Source organism: Homo sapiens, chromosome 17 (genome assembly GCF_000001405.40).
Source record: "Homo sapiens chromosome 17, GRCh38.p14 Primary Assembly".
In the NCBI taxonomy this organism is placed as follows: domain Eukaryota; kingdom Metazoa; phylum Chordata; class Mammalia; order Primates; family Hominidae; genus Homo; species Homo sapiens.
This window is the reverse complement of record NC_000017.11, coordinates 73,503,741-73,526,440: the sequence shown is the minus strand read 5'-3', so window position 1 is coordinate 73,526,440 and position 22,700 is coordinate 73,503,741. Positions and strand designations below refer to the sequence as shown.

At 52.6% G+C, this 22,700-nt stretch overlaps 1 protein-coding gene and 1 long non-coding RNA gene across 6 annotated transcripts in view, besides 3 other annotated features; one reads left to right on the top strand and one right to left on the bottom strand.

The window, feature by feature from the left end:
- Positions 1-22,700, top strand: part of SDK2 (sidekick cell adhesion molecule 2) — a 310,062-nt gene that overhangs the window by 118,005 nt on the left and 169,357 nt on the right. For all 5 annotated transcript variants that reach the window (XM_047436313.1, XM_011524914.3, XM_011524915.3 and 2 more), the window contains exon 2: positions 18,844-19,003. In XM_047436313.1, coding sequence (XP_047292269.1) covers positions 18,844-19,003 — 160 coding nt within the window. The remainder of the gene's footprint in view (positions 1-18,843; positions 19,004-22,700) is intronic.
- On the bottom strand, positions 7,671-12,758 carry SDK2-AS1 (SDK2 antisense RNA 1). The gene is made up of 2 exons (NR_135635.1): positions 12,651-12,758; positions 7,671-9,840 (listed from the first exon to the last, which is right to left on the bottom strand). It is a non-coding gene; the product is annotated as an SDK2 antisense RNA 1 (long non-coding RNA).
- Positions 14,678-15,547: an enhancer, noted in NCBI's record as "H3K4me1 hESC enhancer chr17:71507033-71507902 (GRCh37/hg19 assembly coordinates)". NCBI's record gives its function as "activates a minimal SCP1, AML or CMV promoter by ChIP-STARR-seq in naive H9 embryonic stem cells {active_cell/tissue: H9 hESC(naive)}" and the evidence as "EXISTENCE:reporter gene assay evidence [ECO:0000049][PMID:30033119]".
- Positions 17,898-18,835: an enhancer, noted in NCBI's record as "H3K4me1 hESC enhancer chr17:71503745-71504682 (GRCh37/hg19 assembly coordinates)". NCBI's record gives its function as "activates a minimal SCP1, AML or CMV promoter by ChIP-STARR-seq in primed H9 embryonic stem cells {active_cell/tissue: H9 hESC(primed)}" and the evidence as "EXISTENCE:reporter gene assay evidence [ECO:0000049][PMID:30033119]".
- Positions 19,773-20,710: an enhancer, noted in NCBI's record as "H3K4me1 hESC enhancer chr17:71501870-71502807 (GRCh37/hg19 assembly coordinates)". NCBI's record gives its function as "activates a minimal SCP1, AML or CMV promoter by ChIP-STARR-seq in naive and primed H9 embryonic stem cells {active_cell/tissue: H9 hESC(naive and primed)}" and the evidence as "EXISTENCE:reporter gene assay evidence [ECO:0000049][PMID:30033119]".

Here is a 22,700-nt window from a genome sequence, read left to right as displayed (position 1 = left end):
ATACATTATTCCCACCCCCTTCTTTCTCCTCAAAGAGGAACCAGATCAAAGAAGTTACCTGACTGGCCCAAGGTCATGCAGGTCCTAATTGGCAAAGCCAGGGCTTGAATCAGAGTTCATCTCACCCAGGCCTGCTCTTGCGGCCCCTGTGCTGGCCGGCCACATCTCCCCCAACCTTGCAGCCCCCAACCCTGCACCCTCCAGCCCCATCATGCTGAAATAGCTAAAGTTCCCAGAAGCCACCGTTCCTTGCACGCATCCTGGCTTTTCACAAATGACACCGTCTGCCTGTGAGTGTTCCCGACTGCCCCACCTGGCTTGTGCCATTTAGGATGCTCATTGGAGACACCTTCCCCAGGGCCATTACGGTCCTGTAAGCTGTGCCTCCGCAGCAGCCAGATGTATCAAGGGCTTCACTCTGTCGCGCACTTGTCCCACTGCCAAGTGGCTCATCCATCTCCCCTGTGAGCCTGGGAGCTCCTTAAGGCAGAGATTTCCTTCTTGCTCACTCTGACATTTTGTGGCACGTAGTACGTGCTCAAAAAGCATTTGCTGAATGAATGAATTGACCTTTGAGTGAAAGAATGAATGGTTGAAATGCATATTCTGCATTATGGCTAAGAGCTGAGGGCATTTGCATGGGATGGGAGTCAAGGGCACCGAAATCTAGGGGGCAAGGTAGGGGGGAGCCTTCTTGGGTAGGCAGGGATGGGGGAGCCAGTGCAAAAGGGAGGGAATTACTTCTAGGATAGGGATGGGATCCTGCGGGGCCGTTTGGAGAGAAGGTTCTGATGCCAGCATTGATCTGAGAAGAGGCAGAGGAGGTGGTGGTGCAGTGAGGAGAGCCACCTCGCCGCCTCCCACAGGCTGCTCAGTGAGCCTCCGGTTCCCATTCTTTCCCCCATTTCCCTCTTCCCTTCTCATTCATCCTATTGACAATCTCACATGGGGCTTTTTTGGACCACGTGTTTTATTCCCTGTCACCAGCCAAGCACCCTATTATATTAATTTATTGTCCTTTCCGGTAACTTGTCGCCTTCCTGTAAACTCTCCCTTTCCCTTGCTGGCTTTGTCCATTGCCAAACCCTAGCTACCGGCCTGCCCTCCTGCCTGCTGTGCCCCTGGCCTGGCTAGAGTGAGCAAAGATCTCCTAGGACCCTCCTGGCGTTCACCCCCTCGAGGGCTGCTTCTGGGGCCCTCCCTCTCCCTGTGTCAGTTCCCCATGGAGAGCCTGTCTTGGATCTCACACAGCTGGGGACAAGACCCATGGTTCTCCGGGCTTCTTGCCTCAAAGGCCAGCTCTCGCTTACTCCTTGGTGCCCTGGGGAGGGGTGGGCAGAGACGAGCCTCATCATGCCCTAAAGGGAATGAGGCCCAAAGAAGTAGCCTGGCTGCCCAGGGCCACACAGGCCTAGGAAGGTGAGTCTTGGACAGCCATCCACGGCCTCACCCATGGGATGCATGTGATGGTTTGGCCTTTCCCAGGCAGCCCAAGTCCATGGGAATGATGTGCGCAGAGGCGAGATGGAACCCTTGCTCCTGCCTGAAACGTCTGCATGATTGAGGAGGAAGCACCCAGCGATGGCTCTGTTGCCTTTCCAAACCGCTTCATGCATTGTAGTGGAAGGAGCGTGGGCTTTGGAGATAGACAGCTTGGCATTCCAATCCCAGGGTCTACACTGACCATGTGTGTAACCTGGGTGAAGTCACTTCATGTCTTTGAGCATCAGTGTTCTCATCTATGCAATGGGACAGTCGTGCTACCTGGGCTCAGGGATCACACACAGAGAGCACAGAGGTGCCTGGCCCTCATGACTGCAGACAGGGGTCCTGGGAAGGAGGCCCCCTGCTCCAGTCATGCTAGAGGGAAGAGGGCACAGTAGGTGTGTGACTCTCACATCACTCTGTCTGGATGTGGGTGTCCTGGCAGGAAAAAGGGGAATACAAGGAGCCCCTCATTCTCTGCCTGAGCCCAAGAATACTAAACATCCCATCCACCTTCATCCCCAGCCCACCAGGGGAAGGGCAGGAATTTTAGTTCTGGGAAAGAGGGGAGGCAACAGAAAAAGAAGGGTGAATGGCCGGGGCGGGCGGGGGCCATGTTGGTCTCCTTGCCAGAAAGCTCCAGCCTCTGGGGAAGGGGTTGGAAAGGACCTATCAACACGTAGGCTATCAATCACACTGTGCCTCCTGCCAACATGCCAATCCTGCTGCCCGAGGGTCCCTGCTACACAGAATGTCGTCAGTCACCATTAGCTGAGCTCAGGCCCAACTGCAGAGCAGCTGTCATGACATGATTCTGGGGCCAGGGAGGGCAAATGGAGGCCCAAGCATGGAGAAGTAGCCAGTAGGAATGAGAAGCGATAGGTCAGAGGGATGCAGGGGCAGGTAAGGGATGATCACAGAGCCTGGAAATGAGAAAATCCCTTTCATTCATTCCCTTGCTCAATGTCCACTGAGGTCCTATTCTGTGGAAGACACCAGATTAAGGACTGAAGGTACAGAAATGACCAAGATGTACCAGGTCCAGTAAGGCTCTCAGAAGTTTAGGGCTGTCGTGATGGACATGTGAGCATACAAGAGGGGGCTCGCTTCTGCTGGGGCAGCATCTGGGAAACCTGCATAGAGAAAGGGGCTCTGCGCAGTGCTGGCCTGTTATTTGGGGGGTGCAGGTGAGGGGGTGGTTCCATTTGCTGCTATAAGAAAGTACCTCAACTGGGTGGCTGCAAACAACAGAAATTTCTTGTCGCGCAGTTCTGGAGGCCAGTAGGCTGAAATCAAAGTGCCCAGCAAGGCCACGCTCCCTCTGCAGTCTGTAAGGGAAGTCCCATCCTTGCCTCTTCTGGTTTCTGGGGCTGCTAGCGATTCTGGCGTTCCCATGCCGGCAGCTACATTGTTCCCATCTTCACCTGTCTTCACGTGGCCATCTTCTCCTTGCGTGTTTCTCATCAGTCATGTGGGATTAGAGTCCCCTCTCATGACCTCATCTTAACTTGATTACATCTGCAAAGACCACTTCTATAATAAATAAGATCACAACCACGGGTATCCAGGGTTAGGACTTCAGTGCAATTCAGCCCTTAATATGGGGTATAGCAGAAGTCCATGAAGAGCATTCCACAGCACCAGCCCTCCCCTCATCAAGAGGGGAAGCTTGGTCTCTCTCGGGGAAGAGAGGCTCTCCTGGCATAACCAGACATCCTCAAAAAGGCCCAATTGCAGAGCCTAGACTTGGAAGGGGACAGCAGGTGACTGTGAAACCTTCATGCCCATTTTAACAGGTGGAAAAAATGAGGCTAAGAGCTATCAAGTGAGACAGAGTGACTTGGTATCAAAATCTAGCTCCAATTCTCCCTTGGTCTCTTCTGCGTCGGTTTTCCCATCTGCCAGCAAGAGAGGTTGGGCTAGATGAGTTCCACAGATGCTTCCCACTAGAGAAGCTAAGAAGCTGTGGCAGCCACAGCCGGGACAGGGCCTGGCCTCCAGCCCAGGGCTTTCCCTGATGTCCAGCCTCAGCTGCCTCTTCCTGCCTCATCCCACCCGCAAGAGGAGCTGGGGACCAGAGACAGAGACACAAACTCCATTTGAATGTGAACCTTGGCACCATGGAGATGCTCAGGGTGAGCCCAGTCTGCTCTCTCATTAGTATGAATTTCCTTGTGTTTCTGTCTCTCTCCTCTTCCCTGGTATCAGCTGCTGGCCCCAGGTTCCTCCAGAGAGGAGCGGGGGTGGGTGGGGTGGTGCTGATTAAATCTGAGGACATGACATTGAGCGAGAGAAGCAAGGGGAGCTGCTGACCTCCCTGGATGGATAACCATCAGGAGGCGGTAGCAGAGTCCACATACCATCACCTTCTCCTGCAGATGTTGGTTCAGCCACCTTTCCTCTACCACAGATGGGCTATGTGTTTTCAAAGCAGAAGAGCAGAGACGGCAGAGAACCCCAGCTGGTTCCCAGGCAAGGATAATGAATACAGTCCCCTGGAATGTGGGGGCCTGCCGCCTGGCCCTCCCCACCACCAACTGCCCCCCTTCAGCAGACTCCTCTGCTTCCCCAAGCAGGTGGGCCAGGCTGTTGTCTGGGAATGCCACCTGCCACCAGGCACATGAGCAGCCAGGCCAGGATGAGGTGGGCAGCAGAGGTGGCTGCAGCCTGGGGCAGGGGTCAGCACAGCATCTCTCCTCCCTGCCTTTGGGGCAGCCCATCCGCCCACCCTGGAGCTCCGCCAAAGCAAAGCCCTGCCTTCTCTCTCCGGGGCGCTCAGAGTTGCACACTCTGGGTTGGTCTTTGATGACACCGGCCTTGTGGAAGGAGCAAAAAAACAAACCTTTAATGTGGACCTGCAACACCTTCCATTCCACTTCCATTATGTAATCTTGGGAGTCACTCAACTCTCCAAGCCTCAGTGCCCTCCTCTGTAAAGTGAGGCCGTGAATAGTTCCGACTCCACAGCATTGCTGTGTGGTGCAAATAAGAAAATACACTTGACGCACCAGCACGAGGCCTGGCACCTGCCTGGTTCCTATGATCTCTGTGTGCCAAGCCCTCAGCCAGGCAAAGTGTCCCCGGGTTTTTCTCCAGTTCTATGGCATTGAATCCTAACAAAACCCAGCAAGGGAGGTGTCACAGGACTTCCTGGTACGCGCCAGGAGACTGTGGCTCAGAAAACAGGTGTTGACTCTGTCTCGAGCAGTCTGTAAATGTGGAGTTGGGGCTCACCCCCGCCCCCAACTCCCATCCTCTAGCAAAACCAAGGCCTTCTGTCATTGCAAATGGCCTGCAAACTTGAGAGTGATTGGAAATGCATCCCCACCCTCCAGAACCCAGAGGAGACCCAGCGCCTGAGCCCACACATGGGAGAAGCTCCTGAGTACAGGCAGGGCAAGGGCGGGAGGCAGGAAGGCAGGAGCCAGATGATGGATTAGCACAGGAAGGAGCACAGCACCTGGAGTTGCTTTTTAGTCTTCTTCCCAAGAACTGCATGGGGCTGGCAGGGAGAGGAGGGGAAGTAGGAGGCCACACGACACCTGGCACCCATTGTATGTTTTTTATTTTTTTTTATTTTTTTGATGGGGATAAGATTTGCATGACATAAAATTAGCCATTTTAAGACTGACTCATGCCTTAATCCTAGCACTTTGGGAGGCCGAGGTGGGTACATTGCTTGAGTCCAAGAGTTCGAGATCAGCCTGGGCAACGTGTCAAAACCTCATCTCTACTAAAAATACAAAATATTAGCCAAGCATGGTGGCACGCGCCTGTGGTCCCAGGTACTCGAGAGGCTAAAGTGGAGGATCACTTGAGCCTGGGAGTTCAAGGCTGCAGTGAGCTATGATTGCACCACCACACTCCCGCCTGGGCAGCAGAGCGAGACCCGGTCTCAAAAAAAAAAAAAAAAAAAAAATCATTTTCAAGTGAGCAATTCAGTGGCACTTAGTACATTCACAATGATGTACAACCACCACTGAGTTCCAGAATACTTTCATCACCCCAGAAGGAAGCCTGTACCCACTCACAGTCACTCCCCATTCCCCTCTCTCCCAACCACCTGCCAGTCACCAATCTGAGCCCCATCTCTATGGATCTACCTACTCTGGATATCTCATATAAATGGCATCATACAATAGTTGACCTCTTATTTAGTTTGATGGCAAGAGGGGGAAGGAGCTGCTGCTGGAGCCCCTCCAGGCCCTGCCTGAAGCTTCTGCTTCTGGGGAAGTTTCTAGATGCTCAGAGGGAGCAGCCCAGTCTGCCCTAGACCTTTGTTTACCTCCCTCCTTGGGGCTCCGCTGTGTAGTGGACTGGGTGCCGGTGGTCCTGGGCTTTGGTCTCAGCTCAGCAGCTGATGCAGAGTCCTCAGGGAAGCTGCTGCACCTCTCTGGGCCCCAGGGGTCTCGTCTGTGAAGCGAGCGGTTGAACTTGTGGGTCCCTGTTGCTGCTTTTGCACCCCCCCACTACTCCCAATAAGTTCTGAGGAGAGACGGGACTCCCTGTGGTAGAGACAAAGGGCCACTGCTGATTGGAGGGGAGGAGGTCCAGAAGCTCCTTCTAAAACGGAAAGAAAGAGAGGGGAAGTGGCCTTGACCTTGGTCCAGCAAGGGGCAGTGGGCCACCAGACCTCGTGGGTTCTCTGCCAACCATGAGAGCCAGTAAAAGGGATAAAGAAGGTGACCAGGGCAGGAGCAGAGCCCAGTGTCCAGGGGTGCACAACGGCCTGCTTCCCTCCAGATTGGGTGCAGCCCCAGATGGGTGACACCAGGATGGCCGTGGGCCCTAGGAGTGACTGGGGAGGAGGCCGCGTGTGTGTGGTGTGTGCTGGCCGGCAGGCATGTGCAGGCTTCTGTGTATAATCTGGCTTGTAAATTGCTCGGGGACTGTAACTGCGGAAAGGGCCATAGAGCCGCGTGGTGTTATTATTTATGATAAAGCACAGAGGTGCCTGCCAGGGACTAGAATGGGCTGAGCACTGCGTGCAGGATGGACGGCAAATTGAACTCCAATTTTCTGCTCGGCAGTCTTTGTTACACGCCACAAAGCGCTGGTACACCGGGGTCACCAGCCTGATGAATGTGTGTTCTTCCTCAGCGGTGGCTCCATCTCTCAGCCTCCGTGCAGAGAGCGACTCGTGCTTTGTTTTTTCCTCCCTGCGGGGCCCAGCCTTGGAATCTGTTCCTGGGCTCCAAACGCAGCCTGGACAGAGGGGAGGTCAGAGGCCTTGCATGGAGGCAGGCGGCTATGGGTTCAAAACCCAGCTCTGCCACTGACACACATGTGACTGGGTACCTCTCTCATCTGAGCTTCAGATGAGAGAAATAAAAGAGAAGTCCTCATAGCACTCCCCTAAGGAGGCTGGGAGGATTAAATGGGTAAACATGCGCTGCTCAGTGTGGAGTAGGCCTTTAACAAATACCCATCTTTCCTTCTTGTCCCTGGGCTGAGCAGCCTCGCCCTGAAGCCAGGAAATTGAGGAGAAGCCCCTGAAATTGGGCAGACAGGCCCCGTCTGGGGGTGGTGAGGTCAAGCCCCTAAGGACACCTGCTGTCCAGCTCAGCCCTCTTTATTCAATATTGGGAAACCAATGCTGGTGTTAAGTCAGAGCCACTGCCCCTAGCTCCCATCTTCCCCCAGCTTCCATCTCTCCCTCCTCTTAGGTGATGGCCCGTCTCCAAGGGTGGGCAAGAGGAGGAACAGGGGCTGCCCCTGGGAAGCATGCCAGCCAGAGCTCTGGGGTGCTGGTCCTTCCTCACGGCACAGCCTTCCGTGCCCTGCATCTGGTGGCACCATCGCTGACCAAGGAGGTAGACACTGGAGACCCCCAGGCTGTGGGTTCTTGGACGCATCCCTGGGCCTATGAGTCCTCGCTCTGGGCTCCTGCAGACCTGTAGGAAGACAGTGTCTCTTTGTCACCAGAGTCCCCAGGCTTAGGGGATGGGCAGAAGAGTGGTACCTGCATGGTGGACAAAGTCACCTGTGAGAAGGGTGACAGAGGTGAGGCAGAGCTGAGTCTCATGAAGCCACCCAGGCCGGCCAGGCCATTGATCAATTTCTAGGGGGTCTCAAGTCTCAGCTGTAAAACTGGAGAATTGCTCCAAGCATGCTGTCCTGCCTTGGGGCCACTGAGGGGAAGAGGACTGTGGTCCATGTAACACCATCGGGCTTCTTGGGAGGAATTCCAGGACTTAGTGAACATTTTATTATCGCCACTTTTATAGCTCAAATGAATCTGAATACACTAAAATGATACTAGCACCGTTAGGCCAAAACATTCTAATCGATGGTATAAGTTTAATCTCTGAACCCTCCAAGGGAAATGTAAGAAAGAGCTCCCTTCCCCTCTGTTAACTGCAAAATAAACCTATTGGAAATGAGAACCGTCTTTTTTCCATGCAAGGTTGGAGGTGCTTTGGCCCTGTTTACCTGTGTGGTTCAAACAGGAGGCCCCGGCTATGAGAAGGGCTTGCAGAGGCTGCACCAAGCCAAGATGAGGAATAATAACAGCCTTCTTTCCAAGGGCTCTTTCTCTGTGCCAGGCACTGGTTGAAGCACTTACCCCTTTCCATAGGCCAACGAGGTAGGCACTGCTATCCCTATTTTTCAGGAGAGGTGCAGCAGAGTTACAGAATGATGCCCAGGGAAACACAGCCTGTGAGTGGCAGAGTCCACTGGGTTTGAACCCAGGTGGTCCCATTACAGGGCCCAGTAAGGTCATCCCCCAGAGGGCTACTCGGCTCTTATAATGTCAGGGCTGGAAGGGAACTTTGTGATCTCCATTCTGGTCCACTCCCAAGAAGGGAGGGACCCGCTGGTCCACAGCAAGTTTGCTTGCCCACTTTCTCATGGATCTGGGCTCTTCTGCAGGCCAGGCTGTTGCCAGGCTCTGGGGCTAGGAAGATGAGGGAGCCCCAGTGTGCCCAGCAGTGGGGGATGTAGCATGGGAATCACCAAGCATGCTGGGAGGGAGGCGATCTCAGGAGTCTGAGGAGGACATCTGGAGAAGAGTTACAGAGGGCATGGCATTTGAGCTTTGAAGGGGTGCTGGACAGGAACTAACATGGATTGAAAACCAACATTTTCCTGGTAAAGAAGGTAAGAAAGGGCTCCCCAGGGAAGAGAGTGGCATGGCGCACGTGATGTGTCTGGGAAGGACCAGCTACATCCAGCGAGGCAGGGCTCGGACTTCCTTCTGGTTCTCTGCCATGCTGCCTTCTGTGGAATGACGGACAAAGCTTCCTGTAGGCATTGCATGAGTTTCCTGGGCTGCCATGACAAAGCACTATAAGCTGGGTGGCTTTAAACAGCAGAAATCTGTTCTCTCACAGTTCTGGAGGCCAGAAGTCTGAAATCAGGGTGACAGGGGCATGCTCCTTCTGCAGGCTCAACGGGAGACTCCGTCCTGCCCCCGTCCTAGGCCTGCCTGGTGGCTCCCAGCAGTCCTTGGCATTCCCTGGCTGGTAGATGCGTCGCTTCAGTCCCTGCCTCTGTCTTTACTTGGCTCTTGTCTTCTCCTTGTGTGTCTCTTTCCCTGTGTTTCTTCTCCTCCTACCAAGACACCAGTCACGGAAGGCCCATCCTACTCCAGCGTGACCTCATCTTAACAAACTACATCTCCAAAGACTCGATTTCCAAATCAGGTCACATTCTGAGGTTTTGGGAAGGACATGAATTTGGGGGAGACATATTCAACCCAATACAGGCATCACCTAGTCTTGTCCCACAGATGACTTTATTAAACATCCCTTGGCTTCCATGTTGGGCCTTACTGTCATTCATTTGCCACATATTTCCCAAGCATCTTCTTTGTCTCAGGCTCTGTGCCCAGTGCCAGGGCTATAGAAAAACAGGAGTCTTGGGCCCAGCTCTCCTGGCATCTGTGTGATGTGTTCTGCTTTTCTCTGTGACTTTTTTGGCTGGACGTACCATGGGCTGAGCTCAAGGAGGGCTCGGTGGCAGGCCCAGGGCACACAGCCCTCCTTCCCTAGACTGGCCCCGCCACCCCACTTATGATTCCCTGGGGCCATGTCAAGGCTCAGTTGCACTAGCTGCCCTGGTGGCCAGTGCCCCCCTAATCAGATTAGATGTGTATTCAAACAAATTGATGATCCGTTCCATTAGATGCTTTTCAAACACGCTTCTCTGAGCAAGAAATCCATTCAGGAACAGCTGCGGAGGCCACGGCGTAATTGATGATTGCACCATCCCAGGCTCCCAACGTCAGAAGGTGCCTGGTTCCTGAAGGTCACTGGCGAGGATTAGACGAAGGAGGGCAAGAGTCTTCTTTCCCGGCTAATGAAGCGCTTGGCATGCAGGCAGCACCGGGGCCAGAGCTGGGCCAGGCATCTGCTAGGATACAGGGAGGGGCATAAATTAGCATCTCATTTGTGGGAGAAGGGAGGAGGAGGGAATCCAAGGGGAGGGGGCTAGGGTGCTCTGGGGCCCTGGCTGGTGAGGCAGGAGCAAGAGGCCTTGCCAGGCATGGGGCTGGGAGAGGGAAGGGACTCGCCAGGAGCCCCAGGCCCTGCAGCCTTTATCAGGCAGCTAGAGAGTCCCTGCCCCACCTAGCTAGTGTATGACGTGCAGACATTTCTTCTGAAGGGCAGGGGCCGAACAGGGCCACAGCAGCCTCCTCCTGGGCCCTCGGCACCCTGACCAGTACCATCTCCCACCTGGGTTTGACCAATGTTGTGGGACCAATCCACGCAGGCGTTTGCAACCCCTCCCCAGGCTCCAGCTGTCTCTACCAGTCCTGACCCTGCTCAAAACCTTATGAGCCATCCCAGGCAAGACCCAATTTTTGAGCCAGCTTAGAATGGCATTGAGGGGGCTGAATTTGGAAGCCTCAGACGTAAGAACTTCAAGAGACTGCGGGCTTCTTAGGGGAATGGTTCTGAGAAGCGGGAAACAGGTGGAATGATCATAACAGCCCCTGCCCCTCTTTCCCCATCTCCTTCCTATGTGGTCACCCCCAATGGTTTGTGTGACAGAAAGGGGCACCTCTGAGGCTTCAAGCACTGTGGCTCCAACCTCACCCACATTAGCTCATTTGATCCTCCTGCAGGCTCTGGGGCAGGAGTTTCCATCTGTTTCACTGATGAGACAGGTAAGGCCCAGGAGGTGAATTTGCATAAGGTCAAACTCTAGTTAGCATGGAAATGGGATGTAAACCCAATTTATCTTCTCCCACTGGGATCTTCAAGCCAGATTCTTGAAAAGGTGGTTCCTCGGGAGCAGGGCTGCAGGGTGGGGTCCCCCAGCTTAGCCCCTTCTTCCCAAGAAGCCCCTAAGGCTCTGGCCTCTGCTTCATTTTACTTGGCCCCCACGCCTGCATGCGTTCATCTTCTGTGCTATTTGACCTCCATTTCCAGGCTTCTCTCCCTGCCCTTTCTTAGCTCATCCACCTGAAACCCTCACCCCCTGGGCGGACCAGTCTCTTCTGGGATATTCTGCCTCCTTATCCTTCTAGCTAATTCGCAGGACTCATTCCCAGCTGGGCCGCCTGTTTCGCCCTCATCCCAGAATCTGGCTCTGGGGCTGTGACATCGCAGGCTGGAGTATGAATGCTGCGTGACCTTTGCTTGTGGAGTCAAAACCAGTTCCCTGAGAGAGGCCACCAACCTCCTTGAATGTCCCCCGTCCCTCTCACCACCCCTGGTGCTACAGGTTGGGGTATGAAGGGTGAGACAGCTTTGGGAAGTCTTATGCTAATAATAGAAAGATCCAGAGCTCTGGAACCTGCCAGATCTTGGCTTATGTCTATGTGGCAGAGTCCAGTTACAGAACCTTTCTGAGCGTTGGTTTTCTCCTATTAAAATGGGGAAAATGATAGTGGTTTCCTTGAGATGAACTCAGGCCTCTTAACTAAGATGATGAATGTAAAGTGCTTCATGGATAGAAAGTTCCATGGTTAGTATGGAATAAAGGCAGCAGCAAGACTAGAAGTTTGGAGAGAAGTGAGGTTTGGTGAGAGCAGCCCACCCTGAGCCCCTGCTCCCTCTGACCCCGGGTCCATCCTGCTCAGGTGTGTGGTCCACCAGGGGTAAGGAGCACAGGTTTCCACCCCTGGCACCCATTAAGAGGCCGTGGTAATCAGTCCAGGACACGGTGGTGGGGCCAAGACTAGGAGATGGTGGGAGAAAAGTTTGCGAGTCTAGAAATCCCAGCTCCCACCCTGTTTCCAAGCATTCCAGGGAAGCTCGTGATGACTGAGCCCTTATTCTATGCCTGAGAAGAAGCCGCAAAAAGAGAGAGGTTTCTGCATGTTTCAGAGCTGGGAAGGGAGTTTGTCCAGGCTTGGTACTCCCTGCAGCTTATTCTGGAGGGCAGATGGACATCATTTGGCCAATTAGGTGGCTGGCAGAAGCCATCACCCCCTTCCTCCACCCACCGACCCATTCCCAGCAGAATGGCTCCACAGGAGGTGCGGTTCCCAGGGCTGGGCTGGCTGGGAAGTCAAATCCCCTGAACAGTGAGATGGACACAGCCTGGGGACTCCAGAGAAAGATGACATTATTTTGCAGAGAAGGGGAAAAGTTGAAGTTGAGATTGGCTTCTGTATGGGGCCATTTAGCCTGGAGCCTAGGGAGGACAATGGGGGTATTTAGTGCGAATATCAAGGGAAGATGGCAGTCAGCGATCCCCTGACCTGTTATGGGAAATTACAAGGAAGCCCCGGGCTGAGGCCTCTTGCTGGCCTCTGAAGGCCGCTCTTCATTTAAGCAGCTCAGGCTCTGCTGGTCCGGGACCTCCGAGCCACGTGACATGCCTAAATGACACACAGAGGGTCTGTCCTCTTCCCTGTCATCAATGGGATCACCCTGTGAACAGCTTACCATGCACACTCACATACACGTATGCACATGTATACATATATCTGATCATAGATAAGTAATTCATACCTGTGGTCCACAATATCAATGTTACACAAAGGTATAGAGTGAAAAGCTAGTCCCCCAACCCAAGTCCCCGGGCACCCAGACCTCCCTCAAGTGTCACTGGGATCCATTTTTCATGGAGCCACTAGAAAAAGCCTGTGCCAATACAAGCAAATTGATTTTTATACTTGAAGAAGAAAAGCTTCTACGTAAACAGTAGCAGATTATCCACCCTATTCCATGCCTGAGCTTATCCACCCTATTCTTGTTTTTGTCACTTACCAGTAGTTCTCAAAGATCGCTCAGGCGCCGTCTGCTGCACAGAATTCTGTTGTTTGGAGGGACAATCGTTTCTTTAAGCAGTGCCCTCTTGATAGGCATTCAGGCCATTTCCAAGCTTTTGCTGTTATAAGCTGAGCGGCTCTGAAGTACTGTCATTTCACACATGCACAAGTGAGTCTGTGGAGGGTGAATTCCTTGAAGAGTTGGCGAATTGGAGGATGTGTGCATTTTTAGCTTTGATAGCATTGCCAAATTGCTCTCGTAGAGGGCGTACCAAGCTACAGTCCCGCAAAGCTGTCTGCGAGGGTGCCTGTTGCTCTACAAATTCACCAGCCCAGAATATCACACTTTTACATCTTGGCCAGTGTGATAAGGGAAAAAATGGTATCTTATTGAATTTTAGTTTTCCTTTTTCTTATCATGAGGCTGAGCATCTTTGTGTGAGTTCCAGGGGCATTTGTAATTCTCTTCTGCGAACTTCATATCCTTTGCCCATTTTTCTATTGGTTTGTTAATCTTTTTCTTACTGATTTGTGGGAACATTTCTATATCAGGAAAATTAGCTCTTTGCCCGTGATAACAGTTGCAAATATCTTTCCCCAGTTTGTCATTTGTCACTTCTTTTTGTTTATGAGGGTTTTTTTTTTTCCAGGCAGAATTTCTGTGTAGTTGAAGGTATCAATCTGTTTTATGACCTTTTGGAGCTTGCATAGTACTTAGAAAGTACTTGGCGAGTACATTGCTTTGCCAAGACAGTATATTTTTAAATCTCTGATTTTTTTTCTAGGTCTTTTAGAATTTCATTTTTCATGTTTAAAACATTGATCCATCCAGCATTTATTTTGAGGTAAAAGTGCCAGAAAGAGATTCATCTTTATTTTTTTATCCCCAAATGGTTCCCTAGCTGTTTCAAAACCATTTATTGACTAATTGGTGTATTACCCACTGATTTGAAATTCTACTTTCATCATACATTAAATTTCCTCGTATGTATTTGGGTCTATTTCTAGACTCCCGGACTATTTCTTCATCAGTCTATTTTACAAGAAGGCACTGTTTTCATTATTGCAGCTTTGTAATGTAGTTAAATGTCTATGCTAGTTTCCTCTGTTTGCTATACTTTTTCAGAATTTGTTTGGCTATTCTTTCATGGTTGTTGTTTTGATGTGAACTGTAGAATCACTTTGCCTACTTAAAAAAATTCCTTCGTATGTGTATGTGTGTGTGTGTGTGTGTGTGTATGTGTGTGTGTTTGAGGTGAAGAAAAGTTTAAGAGAATGACATCTTTATAACGTTGATTCTTTCTATCCACAATTCTCCTTCCTTCTCAATTATCTCCTTTTCCACAGAGAGGGTGGCTAACAGGGCTGTTGTGTACAGTTGCACAGGTTGTTTACTGCACCATCCTAGTACTAAGGCTGAGGGGAGCCACTGGCAGCTGCCAACAGGATATGAGCTCTTCTCTCTGGGCTGATCTGTCCATCTTTATATAGATCAATAGTGTTAATAGCCACCCCTCCTAGCACGTGCCAGGCTCTGTTCTAAGCACTATATATTTATTAATGTATTTAATCTTCAAAGCAAACACATCTCCAATTTATAGCTAAGGAAAATGAGGTACAAAGAGGTTAAGTAACTTTCTCAAGGTCACTGGTTTGTGCTACCCTCCTGAGCATTCACAACACAGAAATCTGTCCCTGCACATAAATACACACACATACACACAGATATGTGCACACAGAAACAGACCACAGACACACATACTTGAACACAAAGGCTTGCACACACAGATGTGCACTGACACACACATTGACATTCACAGATATGTGAATGTCCACACATGGACATACATGCAGACACACCTGCACACACACACACCTGCACACATAAACACGTGCACACATAGACACGTCCACACGTTCTGTTATCCCAGCAGCATCTTCTTCCCCTCAGTCTGTCATTCTTCCTACAGCACACACCCTGCCAGCCCCCTGCCATCTCTTGCTTTCAGACGAGGCAGGTCCTGGAGGAAAATCAGCTGTCACTGCTCAGAGTCCTAGGTAGGGCGTCCCTCCCAGGATCCCTGTATCCAGGGGGCAGGTTGACTTTCGGGAGGGGGTGACTTCACCGCAGGAGCTTGGGGAGAGGAACCTTGTGAGGACCACAGGAGGCGAGGGATGTGGAGCCCCCAGCCCAGGGCCTGGTACCCAGCAGGCTCTCAGGGAAAGGCCTCCCCTTCCCTCTCCTCCTCCCCAGAGTCATTATCTCCAGCAGCCTCTGGAGTCAACCCATCCAAGCAAAAGTCATTCTGCTGCAGGCTGGCACCCCCGGGAGGGCTTGAAGAATGAACTGGCAAACGCGGACCTGGGAGGAAATTGCCCAGTGAGCAGGTTTACAGAGGCGAGGGCGTCTGGGCGCAGAGCGTGTGCGTGCTCGCGCGTGTGTGTGTGCTCACACATATGCACATGTGTGCATGCAGATACACACACTGCCCAGCCCCTCTGACTGTTCTGGCTCTGAGTCAGCCCCACATGGAAGGGATTTAATCACCCAGGGGCTGGATCGTTATTGTTTTAAAACAAACGAGTGATGACAGCAATGAACAGAGGGTTTTTAAAAGCGCGATTCAAAGGGCTCTTGAAAGCTGCTGGAGAATATGAATGCGCCTTTGAAGTAAGAATGTGCCCATTTGTTAAGCTGAGAGCAGAGCTGGCTGCTGCCAGCCGGGCGGCGGGCAGTGGGTCCTTTTCCTTGGCAAATGGGTGCCCATCAGCCTCTCCATCCTCCCTAGCACCTGGCCAGAGGTGGCCTAAGACCCTGGAGGCACAAGTGCCCCTGGAAGGGACCAGCAGTGGTAGTCACACCTCCAAGTCCACACTCAGAAAGAAGCATCTTCTCAACTGTTTTTAAGACGCTGCGTTCACCTGACGCTTGTTAAGAGCAATGGAAAGATGTGCATGAATGAGCAGGGAGAGATGCATGATTGAAACATTAGCAAGCCGGGCATGGTGGCTCAGGCGTCTAATCCCAGCAGTTTGGGAGGCTGAGGCAGGCAGATCATTTGAGGTCAGGAGTTCAAGACCAGCCTGGCCAGCATGGTGAAACCCCATCTCTACTAAAAATACAAAAGTTAGCTGGTGGTGCACGCCTGTGATCTCAGCTACTCAGGAGGCTGAGGTGGAGGGATCACCTGCGCCCCAGAGGTCGAGGCTGCGGTGAGCCAACATTATGCTACTGCACTGCAGCCTAGGCAACCGACCGAGACCCTGTCTCCAAAACAAAATGAAACATCAGCAGTCAGACAGACGTAGAGGGAGCAGTCGAAGGCAGCCTCTGGGCAGCAGCTGCCCTCTGAGCCACCCTGAGGCCACCCTCAGGTTTGCCCCTCTGGTGGTCCCCACAGTGAGGGTTAGTAGCAGCCAGGGTGGGAGTTCAAGGAAAAGCCTCCCAACCTGCCGCAGGTTATATATTAATAAGATTGAGCCCTCAGGCCTGTGGGGTGCAAGGTTTGGGGGTGCTGTGCAGCAGGGCCAGCTGACTTGGGCCCCACATGTATATGATGGCTTCTGTTAAGTTGTGAATCTCTACCTGAACCCAGTGAGGCCTGGAAACAAGGGCTGAACCTGACCAAAGACCAGGATGTCCAGTACTGGGCAGATCTGATGGTGAGAGGATAGACCTGGGTCCTGGGCTCTGGGCCTTCCTTATGCTCCAGCCTGGGGTGCAGGAGAAGGCCCGCTGCACCCAGCCACAGCCAGCTACCACCTGGGTCCACTCCCTTCCAGCTGCAAACTGCCCCCTCCCTAGCCCCTTCCTCTTCTTCGGTTGGTTTGTTCCATTTCTCTTTTACTTTTTCTTTCTTTCCTTCTTTTTTTTTTTTTTTTTTTTGTAGAGATGGAGTCTTGCTCTGTTGCTCAGGCTGGAGTGCAGTGGCACGATCTCGGCTCACTGCAACCTCCGCCTCCTGAGTTTAAGCGATTCTCCTGCCTCAGCCTCCCAAGTAGCTAGGACAACAGGTGCCTGCCACCATGCCCAGCTAATTTCTTTTGTATTTTCGTAGAGATGGGATTTCACCATATTGCCCAGGCACCGTGTTACTCCTGATCTCAGGCAATCCACCTGCCTCAGCCTCCCAACTTTCCTTCTTTTTTTTTTTTTTTTTTGGTGAAGAGGGGGTCTCACCATGTCGCCCAATCTGGTATTGAACTCCTGGCCTCAAGCGATCCTCCCACCTCGGCCTCCCAAAGCACTGGGCTTACAGGCATGAGCCACCATGGCCAGCCTGGTTTGTTCCATTTCTTAAGCCAAAAGAAGGCTGTCTGGTGTTTTCCACCTTCCAGGCTCACAGGGTAAAGTTAGCTGTCTGACCAAGATGGGCCTGGGGCATCAGCCAGCACTGAGGGTGGTGGAGCCCCTTCCCTGGAGGGGACACCGTACTTTAGGGTTCAGGAAGGAAATGAACATTGGCAGAACATGTACTCTGGGCCGGGCACAGAGCCAGCATTTTCACCATCACTATTTCCTTCCATCCTTAGACGTGAAGGTAGCTATTTCTTTTCCTGTGTCCACTGATAGAGAAATAGAGACTCAGATAAAGGAACGCTTGTCCACCGCACGCCGCTGGGAAGCGGTGGAGTGAACGTAGACAAGTCCGTAGATGACAGACCCCCCACCACTGGCCTGAAGGTCGGGGTGCCCAGGGCCTACCCTGACAGCAGCAGCCTGCACAGCTTTAATTACATCCCACCCCTCTGGGCACAGTGTGGTCACTGGAAGGTGCATGGAGTTGGGCTGGCAAGCCTGGACTCCTCCCCGCCGGCTGCTGCCTCAAGCCCGTGGCACATAGTAGGTGCTCACTAGGTGAGCTGTTGAGTGGTGCTTTCTAGAACCCACTCCCTCGAATCTGTCAAATGCAAGGCTCATTGGCACAAGCTCTGGGCATCTGCAGGTTCTTCCCTGATATCTGTCCTCTCCTCCCACCCGGGTTTTGGCTTCACGGAGGGAGGTGTGGGCTCAAGTGCTCCAGCTCTGAAGCTGTCTGTGGGGCTGAGCACCTCCCGCCCAGTTGTGTGACCTTGGGCAGGTTTCTAACCCCTCGAGGCCTTGGTGTCCCCTCTCCAAAATGTAGATTGTAATCCTGTCTAGTCATGAGGTTGCTGTGAAGATTAGACGAGCATATGGTAGAGCCCCTAGAACAGCCCGGAACAGAGCAGGTGCTGTCATCTTTGTGGATATTGTTACCAGATGCTGGCTCCTGCCGCCCGGCCCCACCCTATCCACAAAAAGGCAGGTATCTCCTTGACGGATTAGAGCCCCTCCCCTTCCCTCCGTCTCTCCCATTGTTCCATCAGTTCCCTTGTGTACACTCATGTCCACCCTCTCCCACACTGGCCAGAAGGGCAGAGGCCCCATTTCCATCCAGATCAGCCAGCTGAGCAGTCTTGTGAAGTCTGGGGCGAAATTCACGGTCTCTGTCGAGAGAACCGTGGCGGGGCAGGGAGGTCTGCGAGGCTGAGTCAGCTCAGAGGATAAGGGTGACTGCAGAGAGGGGGAAGCAGCTGTTCTGCTCTTCACCCATCATCTGGGCAACCAGGCGGCCAGCCTAGAGTGAACGGGGAGGTAGAGGCAGGCTGGCTCCAGGACCCAGGATGGAAGAAACAGGCAGCTGGTGGCCATGGGGCCCTGCTGGATGGACTCTGTGATTGACACTTTGAGGGCTTCCCCCAGCCTTGGGGAGCAGGACTCAGGAGACCCTTTACCCCCTACAGTTGTCAATCTGCCTCCCTATTCTCCTTGTGACATTGATATTCCCTTTGGCTGGGCCACAGAAAGTGCCCCTCTTGCCTCCTGCCCTGGAGGGGGAACCCATGAGCAGAGTGGATGGAGTGGATGTGTATGCTGAGAGGGAAGTGACAGAAGATGCTGGAGTGTGGGCTGGCAGCAGGGCAATAGCCCAGCGTGGTCTGGGGAGGAAGGAGGCAGGGCTCTGGTTGGCAGATGTCGGTGACTCCCGCTGAAGACCAAGCCTTGGAGTCAGACTGACCCAGGTTCAAGTCCCTCCCAGCCACGGGACCTTGGGCAAATTACCTGGCTGCACCTGCTCCATCTGCCTAAGGGCCTTAGGATACTAAACGCACCAGGTCACATAGGTGAGCAAGTGATCACTGGTGGCTTTGTCTCCCTGTTTCTGCAGATGATGTGTCCCCGTATTTCAAGACAGAGCCTGTGCGGACACAGGTGCACTTGGAAGGAAACCGCCTGGTGCTTACATGCATGGCCGAGGGCAGCTGGCCACTGGAGTTCAAGTGGCTCCACAACAACAGGGAGCTGACCAAGTTCTCCCTGGAATACAGGTAAACTGCCCCTCCCCGCCCTTCCTCCTGGCTGCCAGGACCACTGCCCTGCTTTGAAGAGGGCATGGTGAGGAGGGGGTTTGTGTGACAGTGTGGGGCTCAGGGCTCCTAGAGCCTGGAGTTCTGGAAGTGAGTGGCAAAGGCAGCCCTGCCCCAAGGTGAGATGGCTCCACCCTACTGATCCCTGCAGAGGATGGCTGGGTTGTGGACCAGGGGCCAGCGCTGCCTGGACAGGATGGTCTGTACCACAGTGCATAGGAGCAGAGGTGGTGTTGGGCACAGGGACTCACTAACAGCAGCTGTGGCTGTGGCTGTGACTGTGGCCCCCTGCTCACTCTCTCGAACACTGCCATCTCCAGGGGACTCTTGTTGTGGGGCCTGGGTCCAATGGAGGGGTGGGCTCTGCAGCAACCTGGGATCAGTGAAGGAGGGGACATCTTCTATCTATGGGAAATTCAGGTGGGACACAGAGATGGCCCTCTCAGGGCCTCTTGAGCTTATCTTCACTTCCTATCTGTGCCCGTGCCATGGAGCTCTTGGGCCTGACTGGCCTTTCCCTGCCGGGACATTGCCAGGTGGGGAGAAGGAAGAGCAGGGAAAGAGAATAGGGTCTCAGCAAGGGTGGATCTGCTGCCAGCAGGGAAGCAGCCCCTCACCCAGGCCACCCTGGCCTCCAGCCTTTCCTCGCAGCCACAGACTGGGGCAGGCACTCCCTCCTTTCTGCTCTTATCCTCCCACCTCCGCCTGTTTTATTGGCTCCAACCCTGTGGCTGGTGATTAATCCCAGGGCCTGATGTGCATAATCGGTTTTGTTGGGGAAACAAGATTGTCTTGCCCTGGGGATGTTGACACAAATCTGCTGCCAGGGACAGGTATGCAAATAAGAGGAGGGGGTATCATTGCTTGATCTGTCCTTCTGGAGAACCAGCCTTTCCTTTAGGGAGTGCGGAGGCCAGAGTTTGGAGTGACTCCCCACCCCAGTCTTTCTGCCTTAACCCTGGACTGCATGGGCTGGTGTAGTGTGGCCACATTGGCAAAAGAAAGCCCAGGACAGGGCACCCCCTCCCCTCCTGCAGAGGGGAGAGCTGGATGAGCAAGCAAGAGGTCCTGCAGGGCTGGCCACTCTGGGCCTCCGGTTCTCCAGGAAGCCCACAAGGAGATCAGAAAGCTCTCCCTGAGCAGCCCCTTCTGTGGTTTTCAGTTGGGGGCCAGAGCCTCTCCTGGCCACCACCTGGCACACCCAGGAAGTTGTGACCGTCTCTGTGAAGGGCCCCTGCATCATCTTAGACTTTGGACACGCTCAAGTGGGTGACCAAGAGCATGGGATGGCATACCACACGTGCAAGTAGTGCCGGGCCTAGCCTGCCCCTGACTTCTTCCGGCTGGGAGCCGGAGGCAGGATCCAGGAGGAGGGGAGGAGGAGAGTTGGTTCCTTATCTGGTTCAGAGCTGCTCTTCTGGGGCCCTGGCACTGCTAGGATGCAAGGGCGGGTGGTACACAGAAGCAGGTTCCAGCTCAGTGGAAGGACCATGTGGAATGGCCTGCCTTTGAAAACAGTCAGCCCTTGTCCCTGCAGGCATTCAGGGAGTGGACAGGGTCCAGCTATTGGTGGTGATGATGATGATGATGAGGTCCAGCTATTGATGATGATGAGGTCCAGCTATTGACGATGATGAGGTCCAGCTATTGATGCTGATGAGGTCCAGCTATTGACGATGATGAGGTCCAGCTATTGATGATGATGATGATGAGGTCCAGCTATTGACGATGATGAGGTCCAGCTATTGATGATGATGATGATGAGGTCCAGCTATTGATGATGATGAGGTCCAGCTATTGACGATGATGAGGTCCAGCTATTGATGATGATGATGATGAGGTCCAGCTATTGACGATGATGAGGTCCAGCTATTGACGATGATGAGGTCCAGCTATTGAGGATGATGATGATGATGATGACAATAACAATGATGATAGCAATCATAGACAATGAAAAAGAATTTCTTATATGGCAGACATTGTGATGTCCCTCTGCGATTATCTCATTTAATCCTGCCCACAATCCTATGAGTAGTTTCAGTTATTTCCCCCCATTTTACAGATAAACACACTGAAGCTCAGAGAAGTTAAAGACATCACCTAAAGTCAGATGGTTGAGTTGGGCTTCAAAAATAAGTTGTCTGACAGCAGAGTGGGAATTTGTTACCATCCACCACACTGCCTCTCATTGAAGAAGGATTGCTGCAATTGCTTCCTTAATGTGTATCCTAAGCAATCTTTCGGCTAACTGCTCTGCAAATTCTAGAAAACAAAGCAATCGGGAGAATGCAGATACTCCATTTTATAGCTATGTTGGGTGGAAGTTATTCAAGGGAAATAGATGAGCGCGCACTTGGGAAACTCATTCCTTTACCTCCTCGCCCCTAAGAGTGTTGGATCTGGTGGCCTGGGGGCAACGGTGTGCCTGAATGCAGGTCCAATCAGGATTTTCCTTCAATTAAAAACTTGCTGTGCCCCTGAGGCAAGGTCTGCACTCCTTAGAAGGGCCTTAGAACTCTTCCTGATCTGCTCCTGCTGGCATAGTCTCACCTCCTGCCACCCCCGCTAGACCATCAAGGGTCTCAGGACAGTTCCCTGCAAATTCCCTCTTCTCGGACTTTGTCCAAACTGTCCTATCCCCTCCACGGGAATATTTCCCCTTTTGAAAACTTTTTTTTCTCCTGCAGGGCCCAGCTCAAATTCCTTCTCTTTTAGAAAACCTTTCCTGATAATGCATGTATTCTTTTTTTTTTTTTTTTTTTTTTTTGAGACAGAGTCTTGCTCTGTCCCCCAGGCTGGAGTGCAGTGGCACAATCTCGGCTCACAGCAAGCTCTGCCTCCCCGGTTCACGCCATTCTCCTGCCTCAGCCTCCCAAGTAGCTGGGACTACAGGCGCCCGACACCATGCCCAGCTAATTTTTCGTATTTTTTTTTTAGTAGAAACGGGGTTTCACCGTGTTAGCCAGGATGGTCTCGATCTGCTGACCTCGTGATCTGCCCATCTCAGCCTCCCAAAGTGCTGGAATTACAGGCGTGAGCCACCGCGCCTAGCCAATAATGCATGTATTCTTAATTTCTCTCTCTCTCTCTCTTTCCCTCTCTCTTTCTTTCCCTCTCTCTCTCTCTCTCTTTCACACACACACACACACACACACACACACTTTCTCTCTCTCTCTCTCTCTCACACACACACACACACACACACGCACGCACTGCTCCATCTCCTCTGTCCTTTGTGACTGTCCAGAAAGTATGGCCTTACATATCCCCTGACACCTTTTTTGCCTTCTCATTATTTACAGAGGAGACCACAAGTGCACCACAGAACCGAAGTCAGAGCTTCCAGAACCTTGGCAGTTCCTGGAACCTCAGGACTTAGACCAAGAGCTTGATATTGCCAGGCCCTCTTTCCTCCAAGTCGCTCAGCTGTGCCCACCTCTGGGTTCATACTTCATGAGTCATGAGTGACACTGAGAAGTTCAGGGCTCACAAGCTATAGCTGCCTGATTTCTGAGTAGAAAGAACTTTTCTGGAAGTTTCACTTAGAAAGTCCCAGGGAAGGATTCTGATTGGCCCAGCTCAGACCATCCCTGACCAGTCGTGGTGGGCAACAGCATGGAGCACCCTGATTGGCCAGGCCTGCATCATGTGCCTACTC